Raw genomic sequence first — 20460 nt, 5'->3', positions numbered from 1 at the left:
AAACAGGCTGATCACTCGTTCACATGAGATCAGTGAGTTAAGGAGGGACATACGTGCTGTGCTGTTAACACTGGGACAAGGGTCAGATTTAAATACCCAGCAGGGTGGTAAGTGTTTTCCCAGCCTAATTCTTCTCTGTGGTAAACAATGATGGTGACATATGTCTACTTGCAGGATCCTCTGTAAGTAGGCCTGTTCTCAGTGGTGGTCCTGGAGGTTTGGTGGATCAGGGGTGGGTATTTGCAGTACTGCTTGTACCTGTGAAATTCATGTCCTTCTTTCTTTTATAGTCTTAGAGCATGGCAAATAAGAGATCCCTCCATACTAAGATCACTAGGCTATATAAATTTTTTATCTATCTGTTTTCAGTCACCTTATGTGTAGTAAAGAATTTGGCAAGCTGGGCATGGCAGTTCACTGTAATCCTAGAACTTTGAGAGGCCGAGGAGGGTGCATCACCTGAGGTCAGGAGTTCGAGTAGCCTGGCCAATCTGGTGAAACCCCATCTCTACTGAACAAAAAAATTAGCTGGGTGTGGTGGTGGATGCCTGTAATCCCAGCACTTTGGGAGGCCAAGGCAGGCGGATCACTTGAGGTCAGGAGTTCAAGACCAGCCTGGCCAACATGGTGTAACCCCGTCTCCACTAAAAAGACAAAAATTAGCCAGGCGTGGTGGTGGGTGTCTGTAATCCCAGCTACTCGGGACGCTGAGGCAGGAGAATCACTTGAACCTGAGAGGTGGAGGTTGCAGTAAGCCGAGATCGCACCACTGCACTCCAGCCTTGGCAACAGGGTGAGACTCCATCTCAAAGAAAAAAAAAAGAAAGAAAAAAGAAAATACAAATCACCTATACTACTGCCACATAAGCACTATCAATAAATTTTATCAATCTCTTCCTGGGTGCCTACCAGATGTGTGCATGCACGCGTGCACACACACACACACACACACACACAAATTTCTTCCACTGCATTCATTACAGCATGCTTTTCTCTCTTACCACTATATTGGGAATACTTCCCCATGTCACTAAAACTTTTAGAAAACACCATTTATAATGAATACATAACTCCCCATCAGATGGTTGTCCAACTACTTATTCAATCATTCCTTGTCATTGGGCAATTAGACTGAAATATATTTTTATCCATAAATGTAAATATTTTTCCATGCTTCTGAAGCTGCCTCAAGCCTTAGTTATATAAATGGAATTTCTAAATCAATGTTTCTAAACATTTTTAAATTTCTTGATGCCTAGCTCCAAACTGCTTTTCAGTAAAGTTGACCCAGTTTTCTCTTTCCATTGGCAGCGTTTTTGAGGGCCAGTCTCAGTCACCATTACAACATTTTTAATCCTTAGCAATTCATAGCTGGAAGATAGGATTCTATTGTTTTATTTAGGATGAATTTATATTATTAGTGAAGTAAAACACAAATTTCATGGTTATTAGCAATTTTAATTTCTTCTTTGCTCTAATTGGCATGTCCTTTTATACTGGGTTATTATTATATTAATATTTTATTATTAATTGGCTAGTCCATATAATTTTAATTCAAATACTATAGTCATTCAAGTTAGCATCTAAACAGATTTTATGCTAAAAGATATGAAAAGAATGACAGTGGAGAGTTTGGGAAAAAGATACAGTAGGTATAATAATGTGATTGTAAAACCACTTTTGCTCTAGTAGAACATATTATTTTGTAATTTGAAATGTTTAAATAAGTGATTCAACTACATAAGCATTAAAAATCTCTGAATATTAAAAATGGTAATATGTTATCAACATGACAGACATATTTGGCATGAAAAACATTGAAACCACACTAAAATATAAGCAAAAGACGTAAACAGGCTATTTCTTCTCAATTTACATGTATTTCTTCCTATGTGAAGAAATACATGTAAATTGAGACATGCAAAATGCCAACATTTTTAGTGATCAAAATGAAAGCAAATAAATGCATATTCAAACACTAACATATTATCTCTTATCATATTTAATAAAATTGCTTAGAAGCATCTTAGTGCTGTTGAGGATACAATGAAATGGTGCCCTTACTTGGCTAGTGACAGGGTAAAATCACTAAATCTTTTCTGAAACCCCACGGGTGTATGTAGCAAGAGCCACAAAGACGCTCATTTACCTTGATTAAGTGATCCAGGAAATCCATCTCAAAGGTATAACTTCAACTAATAGAAAAGATATATACATGCACAAAAAATTCACTCTGTCATTATTACAATGGTAGAATACTTATAAGAAATACACAAGCCAAACAAAGGGAAACAAACGTGGTATACTCATAAGATGAAGTTTCATAGAACCATTAAAATACCACATATTTTACTATCCCACACATGGTCAAAGCTGTTACTTTATGATTTAGTGAACAACAATGATATGGTAGCCACTTATCTACTTGATGCCATTTAATGCTCATGATTTTTTTCCTATTTTGATAAAATGAACATAACATAAAATTTACCATCAGATTAAGTACATTCACAATGTTTTGCAATCATCACTAATCATCCGGCTCCAGAACTCTTTTCATCTCGCAAAACTGATATTCCGTACCCATTAAATATCAACTCCCCTTGCCCGCTCCCACTGGGCCCTGGCAACCCCCTTTCCACTTTCTTGTCTCTGTGGATTTTACTTCTCTAGGGACTTCCTATAAGTGGAATCCACTATTTGTCTTTTTGTGACTGTCTTACTTAACTCGGCGTAATGTCCTCAAGGTTCACCCATGTTGTTGCATGTGTCTGAATTTTCTTCCTTTTTAGGGCTGAATAATATTCTATTGGGTGTATTTTGTTTGTTTATCCATTCATCCATCAACGAACATGTGGGTTGCCTCTACCTTTTTACCACTGCAAACAATGCTACTGTGAACACAGACATACAAACATTGCTCACAACTATTTTGCCAGAGACATATGGTCCCCATTAAACAGATGAGGAAATCAAGGTCTCCCTATGAGTTTTTTCACACAACAGTGAGGACGTAAGAGGATTCAGTCATACGCGAACCAGGTTTCAACCGGGGATGAAGCTCAACCTCCTACTATGACCTGAGCTTCTGAATGGAGAAACCTGAAGCCATGAAGTGACAACAAATGTCACACAGGCTGTAGCCCAGATAAGAAATCACAGCTGTGTGGTAACTGACACGAGGCTGTCAAGAATATTTTATGGGATTAGGCTCTTCTTTCATGACAGCAATATGGGGTCAGGAAAGATTTCCACTCGCCAGCAAACACTTTCAGACATAATCTGCCACTGACGTTATTTGTGGAGAGGTTTAAAGAAGCTTGGTTGTTTAAAAGAAACTACTACCATTCAAATTCAAGATTCATTTGCCTTGACAAACAGCACAGTGATGCCCTTGCCAAACTCACCTTTAAGTTTCTTTACTTTATTTCTCCAAAGTAAAAGAACCTGTGTAAAAATACACAGTGCAAATGATCAAAAGGATTAAGGGACTCAGAACCACTTACAGAAATGCCCACACTTTACAGGAACCAGCCAACGTGCTAGGCTAATTTCATTCCAGAGACCAATCTGCAAATACTTTCTTGTGCTTCCAGAGATGAAAGGCCAGATCTTAAAAATACTTCAAGCCGTGTCTTCACATAACATCGCGCACATAGCATGATAGATGTGACGTGCAAACATGCTTGTTAACAATTCACAGCAGCATTACGGGGGCTTTAACGTTGCTGTTCAAAAATATCTTGAAAGAAAAAATGAAAAGGATGATGTCCTCTCTAAGCATCTCCCTCCACTGCCTTACCCCACAGCCCCAGAGGAAGATGAACAAATGGAGAGGGGTTGATTAAAGGCAGCCATTCCTTGGATTAGACGAAGCATCCAATCCAAGAAGAGACATACAAGCATGACCTGGGGCCAGGAAAATCAGGCATTCTGGGGTCATCTAGCTACATGGAAGCTAAGTCATCCATGGAACTAGGTGCCTTTAAAGAGAACCCCGAGATAAGTCAACCAATGTTTACAGTCCTCCAGCACAGCTTCCTATCCGTGGAGAAAATGTCACCTTTGATTCTTCCAGGTTAGGATAATTAGATTTTGCTACTGTTGGGCTGCTGGGACAAGAACAAGAGAGCAGGGAACTGGCCCACGCAGTACATAAGAACAGAAGAGAGAGCCGGTGAGCTGTGGTGAGATGCCAGCAGGTAGTGGTGAGGAGTCAGATTGTCAGGGTTGGCCTCCTGGCTCTGCTGCTGGGCAGGTGCATGACCTTGGCGGGGTCTGGGAGAGGAGGCAAAGCAGGTCCACACCACAGCTCCCTGGCAAATGAGCCATGCCTTTCCTCGGGACCCACACCCATGCTGGGGGGGCCTTTATCTACCCAACCACTCTATGCACAGTTTCTTCACCTGCAAACTGGGTGATTAGTGCCTGGCACATGGGACTTAAGTCTCTACATCTTATATTATTCTCAGTTGTATTATCATAATTATTCTCTAATCAGCCGTGATGACATGGGGAAAATTGGAATAGAAGTCACAAGAAGTAGCTTAAACCATCATTCCAACACAGAGTTTAATACCTTTTTGACTGTGATCCCGGGTGTCCTACTTTTTTAGATGGGAATAAAATATCTCTGTGACAAAACAAAGATTAAATGAGGTCATCTGTGGGAAAGTATTTGGGAAGCGTAAGGCTCTCCATACACAAACACGAGGTTTCTATTGTTATTGCTATTAACCTTTCGTGTTTCCGTACAAGGATGCCGCCCCCATTAGGACTCAACTCTAGGAGAAAACACAAGATTTAAGGACGCCTCCTTCTTATCAAACTGAATTTTATCTCTGTAAGTGCCTCACTCCAATTTATCCATTCATTCATTCTTCATTCATTCTAGAAGTCTCAGTTGTGTGTACTACTGGTCTGGGCACTGAGCTTCCTCTGCTGGAGACTGCAGCTCAGCCTTCATCCACACCCTAGAAAGGCCCAGATTCTCACTCTTTTGATGAAGTGGCAAAAGGGAAAAATCGCATTTCTCAAAGCGATTACCCAGTCTAGAATCAGAATTTTTCTAATTCTTTTTCTTTTCTAGTTTCTTATTAAGCCAGGTTTAATGAGCAAGTGTTTAATCCAGGCAGAAAGACACCTCCGAAAGAGGGGCTACAGGAGCAAGAGCTGAGGCTGGAATCTTGCCTCCCTGGAGAGGCCGTTTCCCATCGCACCCTGTCAACGACTTCCTCTGACAAGAACCTTTGTCCACCAGAGTCCATGAGACCTGGGAGAGGGCAGAGGCACCGGGGCTGAGCTGGAGGAAAGGCTCCCACTGCTGCCTGGGCTGCAGATCCAGAGTACAAGTCCACCTCTCCAGGGGGTGCCAAGTGACCACAGGCTGGGACACGCTGCCAGCATCATGGAACATGATGGCAACTCAGACTGGAGTTGAGAATGACACCCCAAGTTCTCCATAGAAATGGTGGTGCTTCGCCAGCAGGGAAGCAGGTCTTATGTAGACGAGATTTGGGAGGGAGGCCGAGCAGAGCCGTCAGAACCAAGAGCAGCTCGGCCTGCGTGGGGTCCCAGGTGGGGCTCATCTAGAAGGACCAAGGGGGCCTCCAAGGGTCACTGGGCCAGCAGTCTAGGCCCACGTGGTCTGTGTAGATCCCCAGGTCCCTGTGTGAGAAGGAAGGAGTAAGAACGAGAGCAGAGCCTGTGCCTTCCGGAGAGGCTTCGTGGGGACAAGAAATGGGAAATGAGAGAGGCAGCGCAGTGCGACGGTCCCCCAGCAGGTTCCTTAAAGGTGTGTGTCCACTGCTTGAGCCTTGAAGTCAGGTGGAGCTGAGGCCATGGTGCCCAGCTGAGGAGCAGGCGTCCCTGAGAACCCAATGCCCCGGAACTTATCTGAGAACGTAGCAAGACAAGCAGTCTCATTGCCCAAACACAGTAGGCAAAGAGCCAGGAAATTAGCTTAAAGGCAGTTTAGAGACGGGAGCAGCAGAGATCTCTAGATCTGTCCTGCCGCCCAGGAGTGCCTGCTATGTAAGTCCTAATAAACTCATCTATCGCCAAGCTGGACTTGTCCAAGTCATTCTTTGGTCTCTCAGCAACCTCCCAGTTTCAGGGAAGGTCTTTCTATTCAATCCAGGTTTTTCTCATACCAGAGACACAGAAATGAGGCCCACAAGCAAGACCTGTGCACAAAGCCCCCGCCCCCACCCCTCCCAAGCCGGCCCTGGTCCCGGTGCTCAGGGTTCCTGGACTCTGTGCTGCTGTGGGGAAGGTTAGGGGAGGACAAACAACTGGTTCCTCAGAAAACAGCCCAGCTGAGTGGGTGCCCCTCCAGTGTGAACTGGGCTCTGCTGTAGCCCGCAGTGCAATGACAGCCCTGTGCAAGGAGGTCGGTGACACTGTTCCCCCACGTCCCTACCAGCCATAGACTGCCACATTGCAGTCAGCAGGATACCTATCTAGACAGATGGCTGGGCACCACCCAGACCAAAGGAGCATGGAGAGGAGAGCTCAAGAACTCGGTTTGGGAGCCAGAGTGCCCGAGTTGCCACCCTGGTCACTTAGCAGCTGTGTGACTTTGGCAAAGCTTCTTCCTCTATGGGCTTTAACTTCCTTAACTGCAAAATGGGGACACTGATAGCACCCACCTCAGGGGACTGTCCTGATGATTAGCTCAAAACTCCACGGGAGGCATTTGAGCAGTCTGGCCCAGCACAGGCAGAATAACTCAGCCGGTATCACCTTTCTTCATGGCAGCGTTGCTAGTATCATTTGACTGCTACTGTGACTTGGTTCCCAATGTCCTTGGTCAGGGAATCTATGTCTAAAAGTTTCCCAAAATGATTCTTTTTAAAAATTATTTATTTATTTATTTAGAGATAGAGGAGTCTCACTCTCTTGCCCAGGCTGGAGTGCAGTGGTGCAATCTCGGTTCACTGGAACCTCCACCTCCCAGGTTCAAGCAATTCTGCCTCAGCCTCCTAAGTAGCTGAGATTATAGGTGCATGCCACCATGCCTGGGTGGTTTTTGTATTTTTAGTAGAGATGGGGTTTCGCCATGTTGGCCAGGCTGGTCTCAAACTCCTAACCTCAGGTGATCCTCCCACCTCGGCCTTTCGAAGTGTTGAGGTTACAGGCATGAGCCACCATGCCTGGCCCAAGATGATTCTTAGTGTTAAGGAAAGGTTGTGAACCACTGGTCTAGAGCGCCACAGATCCCTGAGTAGCCAGCTCTCAGCCTGTGCTCTCCTGTGTCCCAGCACCTGCTGCCCCAGTCATCAGGAGACTCACAGGAGCCCCAGAGGGCAAGGAGGAAGAGAAGGGGAAGGAAAGGGAGGGAGGAGAGGGAAGGGGAGGAAGCAGGAGGGGAGGAAGGAAACAGGAAAGGAACCCTTTACGGAGACCTGCAGTACAGCTGAGGAAGAGGTTGGGGAACCAGAGACACGTCGGACCTTTCTTCGCTGTCCAGATGATTCCCTAGTAACAGTCACCACAGTGCTATCCAAAACACAGTGCTCGTCCAAAATCATTCAAATATCAAGTGGGGGAGGCTGGACTGAGGCCCAGGCTAAGATGCTCAGAGATGCAGATGTCTGGAGGAGAGCATTGGTGGGCGCTAAGCAGTCACGCCTGAGCAGTCACACGCATACCGGGACGTCAGACGCACACGGAGGAAGCGGTCACGGCAGATGACTTGTGGGGCGGGGAGGGCATCCAAAGCAAGAGCAGGAATCCAAATGGAAGCAGTAGCTCATCTTTGTTGTTGCAAAGCCACAAAGTGGCTCATGAGCTTACCCACGCACCTGGCCACCATGGGAGCTGCTTAGCTGGCCCATCATAGGGATGGCGCACCCCTGATGCAATCCTATAGGGACAGGAACCTCAGACTCTGCCTTCAGACAGTGTCCTGTGCCCTGCAAAGCCTCTAGATCCATAGACTCATGTCAGCATTGCAGCCACCCTTGGCCATTGGGGTAAATGCTCCTATGTCCATTTTACTGAGAGGAAAGCCAAGGCTCAGAGCTCACGAGGGACGGAGACAACCCCAAGCCTAGCCAGAGGCCAACAAGCCCTCCTCCTTGCTGCTTCTCCACACCTGTCATCTCTGTCCCCTTCCCTGGGGCCTACAGGAGCCCTTGGCTGGCCACTAGGGCCCTCCATCACTGGTATGACAGCAACCTGGTTTCCCCCACCCTCCCCAGGCCAGGCTAACCCCTCACACCCACCACCGGCTCCTGCTGTCCCCAGCCTGTAGGGCTCGCCCACCAAGCCCTCTCTGCCCTCAGGGTCACCCCAGGTCCTGCTGTCCCCAGTCCACAGTGTCCCAGGCTACCCACAGTCCAAGCCCTGCCTGCTTTCAGGGTCCCCTCGAGTCTTGCTTCCTCCAGGAGGCTTCTCTGAGCTGGGGACCCCAGGAAGAGGCGCTGTGCAGGGAGAGAGCCCGGCCACTGCGATTCTGTGGGACTGACTTTGTCAGAGCAGGGCTCCTCCACTGAGTCACCTCCCCTGGGGTCCCCCACCGGGTGGCTGTGAAGAGGACCGACGGTGGAGGGAGCAGGCAGAGTTCAGCAAGGGCAGGGAGAGGAGATGCAAAAAGTGGTGTTTCCTTCCACACCCGGCCCTGCCGCCCCATCTTATTCTACTTGGGATCAGTCCCATGCGGTGCAACCTGTGAGTGCTCAGTGCTTACAAGTATGTGCTTAGTGACAGTGGCTCTCCTCTGTAGGCCCCAGGACTGGGCATGTGATGTGATGTTAATAAAGACGTATGGGCCGGAGGAGCCCTCGTGCTGCATCTGCCCACCACTCACTTATCCTTCATCCGGACGGGGCATCTGTATGGACCCCAGCTCCATTCACCTGCCAATGACCAGTCCCTAGATGGAATCCCACATGCACACTGGACTCCAACCCTCTGTCCCTAACCACTGAATTCTACGGAAACCTCACTACAAATCCTAAAGTGGATGTGGCTACTATGCAGAGAAAGGTATTAGACACAGCTAATGCGACTAGAATACTTTACTGTATGGGCCAGCACCATTTTATTTATTCATTAATAAATACTGATCAAATGCCTGCTAAGCTCCATGCACGGTGCTGAGCACTGAGGATTCCACGGTGACTAATGTAACGATGGTGACAACAAACAACCCTTGTGCCACGGGAACTGCCTAGAGTCCGAGTCCAGGTAAGAAACTGATCTTTAAAATAAAAAGACTTGACTTAGTTTATTTATCCTATAAGCAAGATGGAGGGGAGAGGGAGACACAGTAATTTTTTTTCATTAAATAATAACCATTCTTCAACCTCCCTCATCCTTTCCCTGCCAGCCAGACTTATCCAAACCGTTAAACCAAATCAAAGAGCACACAGAATGATCCAGGTGTTTGAAGGGAGAAAGGGGCGAGGGTGGGTGAATAATACCTCCCCTTTTCCCACACGAGATTCAAAACACTACTTTTCTCTTGCTAATTAACTACAAAGAGGTAAGATGTCAGCTCGGTTTCATCTCCAGCTCCTGCGGATAGAAAATGTGATTTCCAACAATGTACTCATTATAAAAAAAAAATCCTAATACATCAAAATTGGATGCCCTGTGGAGTTCATTATAGGATTTGAGGAGTGTCTATACTGTCATTTTATCTTGGCTTTTTTTTTTCTTTTGTCTCATTCGTCACTTAAAGTGTCCGACGAGAAACATAAGCTTTAAAAAGCATCCTATTGATTGAAAAGTAGAAAAAAAATACTGGTGGAGCAATTGTGAATTTTTTGTTGTTGTTGGCCCGCCATGGGGAGACACGATGGAGAATTTATGATCCTCTGCTGTATATTTTATACAGACATATCCTTCAGAGATTATGCTCTCAGAGGAGTGCCATAAACACAGCTCAGTACTGGATCAAGAAAAGTCTTCAAGAAAGCAGTCAATGGCAACCGTTAATTCTTTGTGCACTGGAGGTTTCTAACTGGTACAAAGAAAACCAGTACGTAGAAGTAGGTAACTAGGATAGCAGTGAGCCACTCCCTAGTTTCTGTATCCAACCTGCTGATTTCAGAGGCTGGCCTTCGCACCCAATGCTAACCCTTTGAGCTGGATTTTCCAGAATAAGAAGGGTACAAAAGGACCTGTGCCCATTTTCTAGACTGGCACCAAACTCCCACTCTGCTGCGAAACAGGCAGGGATGATAAGATATGGGCAAAACCAATCTGTCAAGCAGGGACCATGGTATCCCTGCAGCCAAGAGAACCAATGCAGTTTATTAAATGGCCTTTTAATATTAACAAGGGTATTGCACACTGAGAAACTATGATTCCTTGATGCTACTGAATTATACCACCAAGTTTAAAAAGAGGTCTGTGTGTGCCTTGTTGTCAGTGGGCTACACAAGGAGAGTGGTTCACAATTTAACAACTTAGAAATCCTTGTGGAACTCTGAAACATACTCTCACGCCTCCCCCTCCACCCCACCAATGGAATTCCGATACAGGAGAGCTGGGGGCAGGCCTGGCATATGCATTCTCACAAAGCCCCATGGGTGCTTCTGATGCAAAGCTGGGAAAGGAACCACGAACTTGGGCATCTGATGTATGTGGCTAAACCACAAAGGAGGAAATGGACAGAACATTTTTTTTTTTCAACAAAGTCTCAGAATTGTAAGGGACCTGAAAGGTCATCTAGCCAAATGGCATACTATATAGTTTAGCCCACTCCAACCTCCAGATGACCATTTCAAGACAGGGCACTCTCTAATTCTCAAAGTAGTTCATGCCACTATTGGGATGTCCTAATTGCTAGAAATCCATGCCTTTATTAAGTCAACTTCTGCCTCCTCCTACTCACAGTCCAGGCAGTGCTTCTTGGGACCTGCTCACTCCTCCACGATGGCTTTTAAGAAGGCTGAAGGCATTTACTACGGGCAAGTAAATGGCACTGACTTTGGAGTCTGAAGAACCACATTGAGTTTTTCTACATTTGAGGGCATAATCTGCTAGAGAGGCCACTTAACTTCTCTTAGCCACAGGCTGCTCATCTATAAAATGGGCATACTAATATCTGTCCTATCAATCTTAGAAGATGGTTAAGAGCAATAACAGACATAAAGGGGAAAGCACAAAGCACTTTGGGAACTTACCAGTGGTAATCAAATCTTATAACTCCATATACTAATAATGATCAACCATGGCATCGCAGAACTTCACAATGAGATGCCAGAAGACTTCAAATGTTTAGGATCTATGTTAGTACAAACAGAACAACATGGACGGCTCTCCAAGCAAAGACAGGTTTCTCTGGGTAAGTTGTCAAGCGTACGTTTTCCTAAAAGTGTCTGTGTTCCACCTCAGAGTTAAAAGACAACTAGAGAGGCCCTACGAGCATGATAATAGAAGGGGTCTTTGAAATCAAGTCCAATATGTTTTCATATTCTTCAAAAACTGTTCTAAACTCTCCATGCGATGGATGAGAAAAGGCACTCCATACCATTTGATAGCACAACAGGGTGACTATAGTCAATAATTTAACTGTACATTTCAAAATAACTAAAAGAAAATAAATGGATTGTCTGTAACACAAAGGATAAATGCTCGAGGGGATGCAGACCCCATTCTCCATGATGTGATTCCTACACACTGCATCCTGTATCAAAACAGCTCATGTACCCCATAAATATATATACCCACTATCTTGATACACAAGATAATATGCCTATCATCTCGTATACCCCATAAATGTACCTACTATGTACACACAAAAATTAAAAAGAAGGCTGGGTGCAGTGGCTCATGCCTGTAATCCCAGCACTCTGGGAGACCGAGGTGGACAGATTATGAGGTCAAGATATCAAGACCATCCTGGCCAACATGGTGAAATCCGTCTCTACTAAAAATACAAAAATTAGCCAGGCATGGTGGCGGGCACCTGTAAACCCAGCTACTCCAGAGACTGAGGCAGGAGAATGGCTTGAACCTGGGAGGCAGAGGTTGCAGTGAGCCGAGATCATGCCACTGCACTCCAGCCTGGCGACAGAGCGAGACTCCATTTCAAAAAAATAAGATAAAGTAAAATAATTCAAAAAGAAAAAAGGAAAAAAAAAAAAGAAATGGCACTCCTATTGAAGCTCACCACTTCAAACACCGTGGCTGCTTGCACCATTTTTGCCAGAGAGCTACTTCACGTCATCCAAAGACAATGAAAATTGCCTATTCATTCTGCACATTAGCCACATTATAGTTGCTTTTTAAGTGTATATGGTGGTAACATATTCTCCCAACTTGGATAGTACATTATTTACAAATAGCTCACATAGGAAGGATGTGGCAGGATTGCTCAGGAAGCATGGCTCTAACTAAACTATTAATAATAAATGTAAGTACATTTTTAGTCTAAATTTTTTTTAAAAAATGGAACTAAGAACTTCAGATTTGTTTATAACTCAGACCCACACTGAAACACTGTTGCTGGTCTGAGGAAAGTCTTGGCCTTGCCTCCTAGACAGTGCCAAAAGCATCAGTTATTTTACACCACAGCCCCCCAAAAAAAATCAGTCCAACAGCTTTATCTTAAAAGCATGCCAACACAACAAGCAACTGAGGCTTAAGAACTTTATAATCGACTATGTACATATCAAATAGGAACTCTTTAGAATATCTGCACAGCACCAAACCACCTGATTCTATAAATTATGATTTCTCAATAAGGGTGGTGTCACTTCAAGGGGGCAAAAATCGGTTCTTGGGGGACAAAAATATCTTACATATGAAAATGGCTACGGCTTCTAAAGGGCCACAGTAACTAGTGGTATATAGTATATCTGTGGTATTAAATTTAATGGAAGGGGACTGGGGGAGACAAGAGAGAAATGTCTAAAAAGGCCGCTTAGGGCGACTATAATTTTTTTAAAGCCTGAAAAACAGTAGTCTGATTCAATCAAATATCAGTACAATCAAAATGGTGACCAAACCAACTATAATTCCAGCCTCATTTTCACTTTTGTATGGGGCTCGTAATCCAACATCACAACCACAGGAGGGATTCATTCACTAAGTATTTACTAAACCCTAGCATGAGCTCTGAGCACTCTCTGGGATGCAGCCAAAACAGGATTAAGACAGGTCCCGACCTCAAAGAGCTCACAGTCTAGGAGGGCAGAGAAACAAGCAAATGGCAACTCCAGGATGAAGCAATTACTGCTGGAGAAGGGTAGTCTCAGAGTTCAGTGACACAGCTTGAGAACGCAGGGACGACTTTACAGAGGAAAGGGTGACTCTAGTGCTCTACCATGGTCCCCTTGACCCCTGGGTCTCCCTTATTCTTGGCAACTTCACACCTGTAGGATATCCAGGTCTGAAACAAAAATGGAGAGCATTCAGCTAGACTACGTGCCTTTGCCTGTCGTTATTTTAACTTATGAGGGAAACAAAGCCCTGAGCAAAAATTCACCAGACCAAGACACTAATAGTAAGTCCAACGCATGAGAACGGTGTGTGTCTCAAAGGGGTTCTCTCAGTAACAAACACCAGAGGCCCCACTTCTGGACTTAGGTAGCTTGTTCTGTGTTATTCCGAACTCTGCACTGGACTTTTCCTGACTTGAGATTCCTGGTTACTCTGTAAGCGTGGGATGATGATGATACCTTAGATTGGTGTAACACTTTTGTAGCTCATGAAATGCTTTCATATGCATTAATTGCGTATTAAATCTTCATGGGAACTCCATGTATTATGATGTCTGTTTTACATTTCAAAGATGAGAAAACTAAGCCTCAATGAGGCCAAATTATTTGCTTAATTCAGGTCATTCAGGGCCCAGTAGGTTTGATTCCATAATTTCATGCTTTCTCCCCATAAACATTGGAGCTAATGGTAACTACTAAATTATTGCTACCAATGACTTCGTATAGATGCAGACTCGGCTGTAATTTGATTGATATTGGGAATCTTTTAGCCTTGACTAGTAGATCTCTGATGATGGTCAGTAATTAATGTAGGAGCCCCAAGACATGCCCTCAGGAACACACCAAACGTTTCAACAATGAAGTGCTGGGAAACTGTGCCAAGGGCATTGGCACTGTAGCTAGAATATTTGATTTGGACGAATCGCTTAACCTCTCTGAGTCTCGACTTCCTTGTCAGCACAGCAGTTATAATAAAAACGCCAAAAAGGTACGCTATAAAGATTACATTATACACGTGTGTGCACACACATGTGCGTACACACAGGCTTTAACTATAAAGTGTGCTGATACTTAGTTTCTCTACTCATTCTCTCTGTCCCAGCTGGACAGGCCAGGAATTCAATACATGTGAGCCTTCAATCTTGGCTTGAAGCCAATGATAGGAGACATCCAAAGACATGTGATACACTGAGCCTGCTCTTGGAGAACTCACCCAAACACTGAAAACACAGGATAGAAAGTGTTAGGTGCCATGGGAGGGGCACAGACAAGTGCTCTGGTTTAATGGAGACAGTATATCTAACTGGATGTTTGTATTAGTCTGTTTTCATGCTGCTGGTAAAGACATACCCAAGACTGGGCAACTTACAAAATAAAGAGGTTTATCCTACTTACAGTTCCACATGGCTGGGGAAGCCTCAAAATCACAGTGGGAGGCAAGGAGGAGCAAGTCACATCTTACATGGATGGCGGCGGCAGCAGGCAAAGAGAGGAGTGCTTGTGCAGGGAAACTCCCCTTTTTATAACCATGAGATCTCGTGAGACTTATTCACTATCATGAGAACAGCACCAGAAAGACCTGCCCCCATGATTCAATTACCTCCCACCAGGTCCCTCCCACAACACATGGGAATTCAAGATGAGATCTGGGTGGGGATACAGTCAAACCATATCAATGTTGAAAAACGGGAACTACTTAGACACACACAGGTAGAGGTAAGAGTGCTTCAGATGTTGAAAATGACGAGCACCATAACACAGGAAGAAGATCCTAGAATGGACAGGATGGCTTAGATTAAATAAGCCACACCATTCCTGCTGGCAGACACGGTGCCCAGTGCCCACAGTATCAGAACCCCACAGCTCCCTCTGACATGCCTGCACCAAGAAGCTCCCTCCAGCTGAGGGGTACCCTTACCCAATTAGTTGTGACTGTTCCCAAACTGGTTTAGGCCAATTGCACTTTATCTTCTAATTAGAAATTTTAATTAAATGTCACACATACAGAAATAAAAGCAGAAGAAGAAATACAGCTTTGTTTCTATTAAAATTAATATTTAATTTTGTTTTAAAAAAAGAACAAAACTGTCATTTAAGATAACATAGATAAGCTTAGATGACATTTTATGAACTGAAACAATCCAGGCATAGGAAGATAAATACCGCATGTTCTCTCTCATACGTGGAAGCTGAAAAAGTTGATCTTATAGAAGTAGAGAGTAGAGTGGTTACCAGAGGCGGGGAAGGAGTGGGGGGAAGGGGATATAGGGAGAGACTGGTTAACAGGTACAAAATACATTGAGATGGGGGGAATAAGTTCCAGTATTCCAGAACCCTACAGACTGACTATAATTAACAATCATTTATTGTATATTTTCAGACAGCTAGAAGAGCAGCTTTTGAAGGTTCCCAACACAAAGAAATGATAAACGTCTGAGGTGATGGATATGCTAATTACTCTGATTTGATCATTACACATTGTATACATGTATGGAAACATCACCCTGTACTCCATAAATAGGTACCATTTTTAGGTGTCAAATGAAAATAACAAAACCAAAAAATAAAAAATAAGGGAAATGCTTTAGAAAGCTTAATAAAAGAAAGTTGTTAAAAATACTGTCAAATTAAATGCAGGCAAGACTACTCCGTAAGATTGGGAAGGGTGGCTGTCAAGGGCTCGGAGAAGGCGGATGCAGAATTGGTGGTGAATGGTCACAGAGTTTTGGTTTTACAAGATGAAGAGAGCTCGAGGAGTGGATGGTGGTGATGACTGCACGACGAAGGGAATGGGCTCCATACTGCTGAACAATACACTTAAAAATGGCTGTTAGTAATTTTTATGTTATGTGTATTTTTCCAGCTTTTTTTTTTTTTAAAGAAAAAAAGATTGGGGAGGAAGTCATGAAAATCTAGATAAATTCTTTGTTCAAGTTGCTACACGAATGTCTTTAAATTCTCACTAGATTTTGAAGATGCAAAACTAGAGATCATTTGATAATAATAGTGGCAAACAGTGCTTGTTCTGGATGAGGCACAACTATAAGTGGTTTACATATACTAACTCAACTAATTCTCCCATCAAGCCAATAAGAGCTATTTTCATTATATCCATTTTACAGATGAGGACAGTTAGGCACAGAGAGGTTACATGGCACAGCCACCATCACACCACCACTGAGGGGCGGAGTCAGAACCCAGACCTCCATAATGTAGCTCCAGAATCTTCACTCCTACCTCCACACTGTGCTAAAGAAGGAAGATGAGGAGCCACTCCAAGTAGGGAGGGGACTCTAGGTCAAAGGAGAGATAATGGACATGAATCCAATGTTTGGCACAATAACGTACATTTATTTAAGTTTTCTTTTTTAAAGGTTTCTGTAAACCTTTTCAAAAAATGATTCATTCCGTGCCGGGCATGTTGGCTCATGCCTGTAATCCCAGCACTTTGGGAGGCCAAGGCAAGTGGTTCACTTGAGGTGAGGAGTTTGAGTCCAGCCTGGCTAACATGGTGAAACCCCAGTATCTAGTAAAAATCCAAAAAAAAATTAGCCGGGTGTGGTGGCGGGCGCCTATAGTCCCAGCTATTCGGGAGGCTGAGGCAGGAGAATTGCTTGAACCTGGGAGGTGGAGGTTGCAGTGAGCCGAGATTGTGCCATTGCACTCCATCCCGGGAACAAGAGTAAAACTCTGTCTCAAAAAAAAGTAATAATAATAATGATTCATTCTCTCTTCAGTCAGTTTTCCTAATTAACCAATTATCCCTCAAGAAAAGCAGAAAAGCAGTGGCAGGAATGTAAACTAGTACAACCACTATGGAAAACAGTGTGGAGATTCCTTAACAAACTAAAAGTAGAACTACCATTTGATCCAGCAATCCCACTACTGGCTATCTACCAAGAGGAAAAGAAGTCATAATACAAAAAAGATACTTGCACATGCATGTTTATAGCAGCACAATTCACAATTGCAAAATGCAGAACCAATCCAAATGCCCATCAATCAATGAGTAGATAAAGAAACTGTAATATATATGTGTGTGTGTGTGTGTGTGTGTGTGTGTGTGTATATATATATATATATATATATATATATATATATGAGATAGAATACTACTCAACCAAAAAAGGAATCAATTAATGGCATTCACAGCAACCTGGATGAGACTGGAGACTTATTCTAAGTGGAGTAACTCAGGAATGGAAAAAAAAACATTGTATGTTCTCACTCATAAGTGGGAGCTAAGCTATGAGGATGCAAAGGCATAAGAATGACAAAATGGACTTTTGGGGACTCAGGGGGAAAGAGGAGGAAGGGGGTGAGAGATAAAATACTACAAATTCGGTTCAGTGTATAGTGCTTGGGTGATGGGTGCAACAAAATCTCACAAATCACCACTAAAGAATGCACTCATGTAACCAAATACCACCTGTTCCCCCAAAACTTAAGGAAATAAAAATTTTTTTAAAAAAGAAAAGCAGTAGATAGGACATTTCTTCTATAGTTCACCCTAACTGGACAACACGAAGCAGCTTTAGCTGCTGGATAGGAGCACAATACTCCTAATAAATATGAAGAGGGTTCTGAAGGCAGCTAAAAATGATGTGCAATTTTTATATGACAAAATGCAGGATCCACCGTGTGATACTGAAATCTAAGAGAACGTCTGAATGCATCTTGCATGGTGTATTGGAATGGTAACTTCTGCAACAAACCTTTCCCCAGCAAAGAGAAGGGTGAGAGTGTGTGTGTGTGTGTGTGTGTGTGTGTGTGTAATGTGAATATATGCAATATGATGTGTCTGCACCTATCATCTGAACTGGCTGGGCTTTTAGGAAAGTCTTTTGGACCAGGTTTAAGGAAGCTCTTGAAGTTAAGAATGGAATTTTCATCTCTTTAATCTTCAAAAGCAGTCTGCAACACTATGCATTTTCTAAGGGTTAGGACTGGTCTCTAAATTTGGGGGGTTTTTCTGGAGGGAGGTGGAAGGAGGCTAATTACATGCAAATCTTTTCCTCAACACAGTATATAGAGGAGAGCTGATGAAGTAACCTGCTTTTCAATGTTTTTGATGGAGAATTCTGAATTCCAGGATCAAGAATACAGATTTGGTGTCAAGAAGGTGCACTGATAAGAGTGGAAGGTATATTTTCAAGATTACTTAGCAGCCCTGTGTTGGACACTTGGTAGTGATAAGGTCTGGAGGTATACTGAATACAAGGGCATCCCCACTCTTCCTGCTTTATGCTCAGCTCATATCGCCACCACTCACTGATCAGAGAACAGACGAGAAGGTAATGGTATCTTTGCATCAAGCACAGTGCCACTATGGCTGCTCTGTCACCGGAGGCTACAGAGATAATAGGGCTGGACACCAAGGGGACACAGAATGGACACCTGTCCCCACAATGTCGACTATGCTGGCAAATATGGCTTTGCTAGGTTTGCAGATAACAGAAAACATCTGGATCAATGACTTTTGTAGCTTTCATCTTGGCAGATATCCATTATGGAGGTCAGTATAAATTATATTTCTGGGCGATCAAAATAGCTTGATGAAAATAAGTTCAAAGTGACTTTCCAAATATAAATTCCAAGCTGCAGATAAATTAGTAATGATTTCTGCACTGTGTTCTCTATCTTGGCCCTTCTGCAAATTATGGACGATCCTACCTTTGTCAGGCACTTACTGTAGAGGCTGGTGAGAGGAGAATGTTTATAAAACTTGTTGGCTTTTGTGGATGAAAGGTTTTTGATTAGTACGAATTATAAATTATTACTATTCATTAGAAAGGACAAATGAATTATTTCAGCTCCCAATGCATCTCTGCCATCCACACACTATTGTACGTGGGGGGAGAGTCTGGAAGAACCCACCCTGTTCCCAGCACTGCTATTACACAAAACTATAACCCTCCACCTTCGAAAGAACACTTCAGAGCAGCCTGAAAAACCTGCAAAGTAAGCCCCGTATTTCTTTGTCCCTTTATCTAAAAAGCAGGGAAAAAAATATAATTAGAAACGTGGCTAAGAAGCCGTCACTATTGTGCTTGGTGATAAGCTTCAGATGTTTGGATCCCAGCTCGATAATAGCCTTCGTCTTGATCAGCGCCCCTTTACAAAGCAGGCTGCTACTTCACAGACAGGGTGGGGTCAAGGTTTCTGGCAAAGAGAATAAAGTAAAATTCCCCACAGAGGAGCCACTCCATAGAACCCGGTCATTGTGTAGATTTGATACCATTTTCCCCTGTAGCACATGCCGGAAATCGTCTCTGAAAGACCATTTCTTATCGATAGCATTTTTCTAAGTTGTGTTATATGCGGTGTACTGGCTCCTATGTTCACTGCACTTGCATTGTTTCAGGATTCTGCTTTTGCAAAATCATACTGTCTAGGTCGGGTGTGCTTGTTAGTAAGCACCGCCGCATTGTCAAGGCTGTGCCATCCCAGTGGGTTTATAGATGATTACCTATGAGGGTGGGAACTGGAAAATTATGTTCATGTCAGCCTTCTCCATTCATTTTCATTAAATCAATCCTTTTTGATAAATAATCCAAACTTTGTTATTCGACATTTCCAACGATGGGGAAAAGTCCAGGAGAATGGCAGAGAGGGAGAGGTGAGAGAGAGTAAGAATCAGCACAAACAAATTTAAAGTAAGTAGTTTAGAGCTATCATAATTTATTGGTGATTTTGGTAGAAAATGCTTTTTTCTCTGGTAACAACCAGCTTTACTGAGATGAAATTCACATACTATACAATCCACCTATTTAAATATAACTCAGTGGTTTTTAGTATATTCACAGTTGGGTAATCATTACCACAATCAATTTTAAAACATTTTTATCACTCCAAAAAGAGACTCCATACACTTTAGCTATCATTCCCAAACCCACCATCTCCCCCGTCCAAGCTAATGACTAATGTGTCTTATTTCTGTCTCTACAGCTTTCCCTATTCTGGACGTTTCAAATAAATAGAATCATACACTCTATGGTTTTTTGCGAGTGGATTCTTTCATGTAGCACATTTTCAATATCGACCATGTTGTTGTGTGCATTAGTAGTTCACGCTGTTGTACGTGTATACCTTATTTTATTTACCCATTCACACGCTGATGCGCGTTTGGGTTGTTTCCACTTTATGGCTATTATGAATAGTCAAATAATGCTGCTATAAATATTTGTGTACAGGCTTTTGTATGGACACAGGTTGTCATGACTCTTGGGTATATACCTAAGAGTAGAATTGCTGAGTCATAGACTAACCCTATGTTTAACCT

The 20460-nt window shown here is 43.4% G+C and overlaps 1 protein-coding gene across 8 annotated transcripts in view; it reads right to left on the bottom strand.

The window, feature by feature from the left end:
- Positions 1 to 20460, bottom strand: part of MSRA (methionine sulfoxide reductase A) — a 374600-nt gene that overhangs the window by 127810 nt on the left and 226330 nt on the right. The gene's annotated exons all lie outside the window — the stretch shown is intronic.

The sequence above is a fragment of the Homo sapiens genome, chromosome 8 (genome assembly GCF_000001405.40).
Source record: "Homo sapiens chromosome 8, GRCh38.p14 Primary Assembly".
In the NCBI taxonomy this organism is placed as follows: domain Eukaryota; kingdom Metazoa; phylum Chordata; class Mammalia; order Primates; family Hominidae; genus Homo; species Homo sapiens.
The sequence above is the reverse complement of the archived record's forward strand: the minus strand, read 5'-3'. Positions and strand labels throughout refer to the sequence as shown.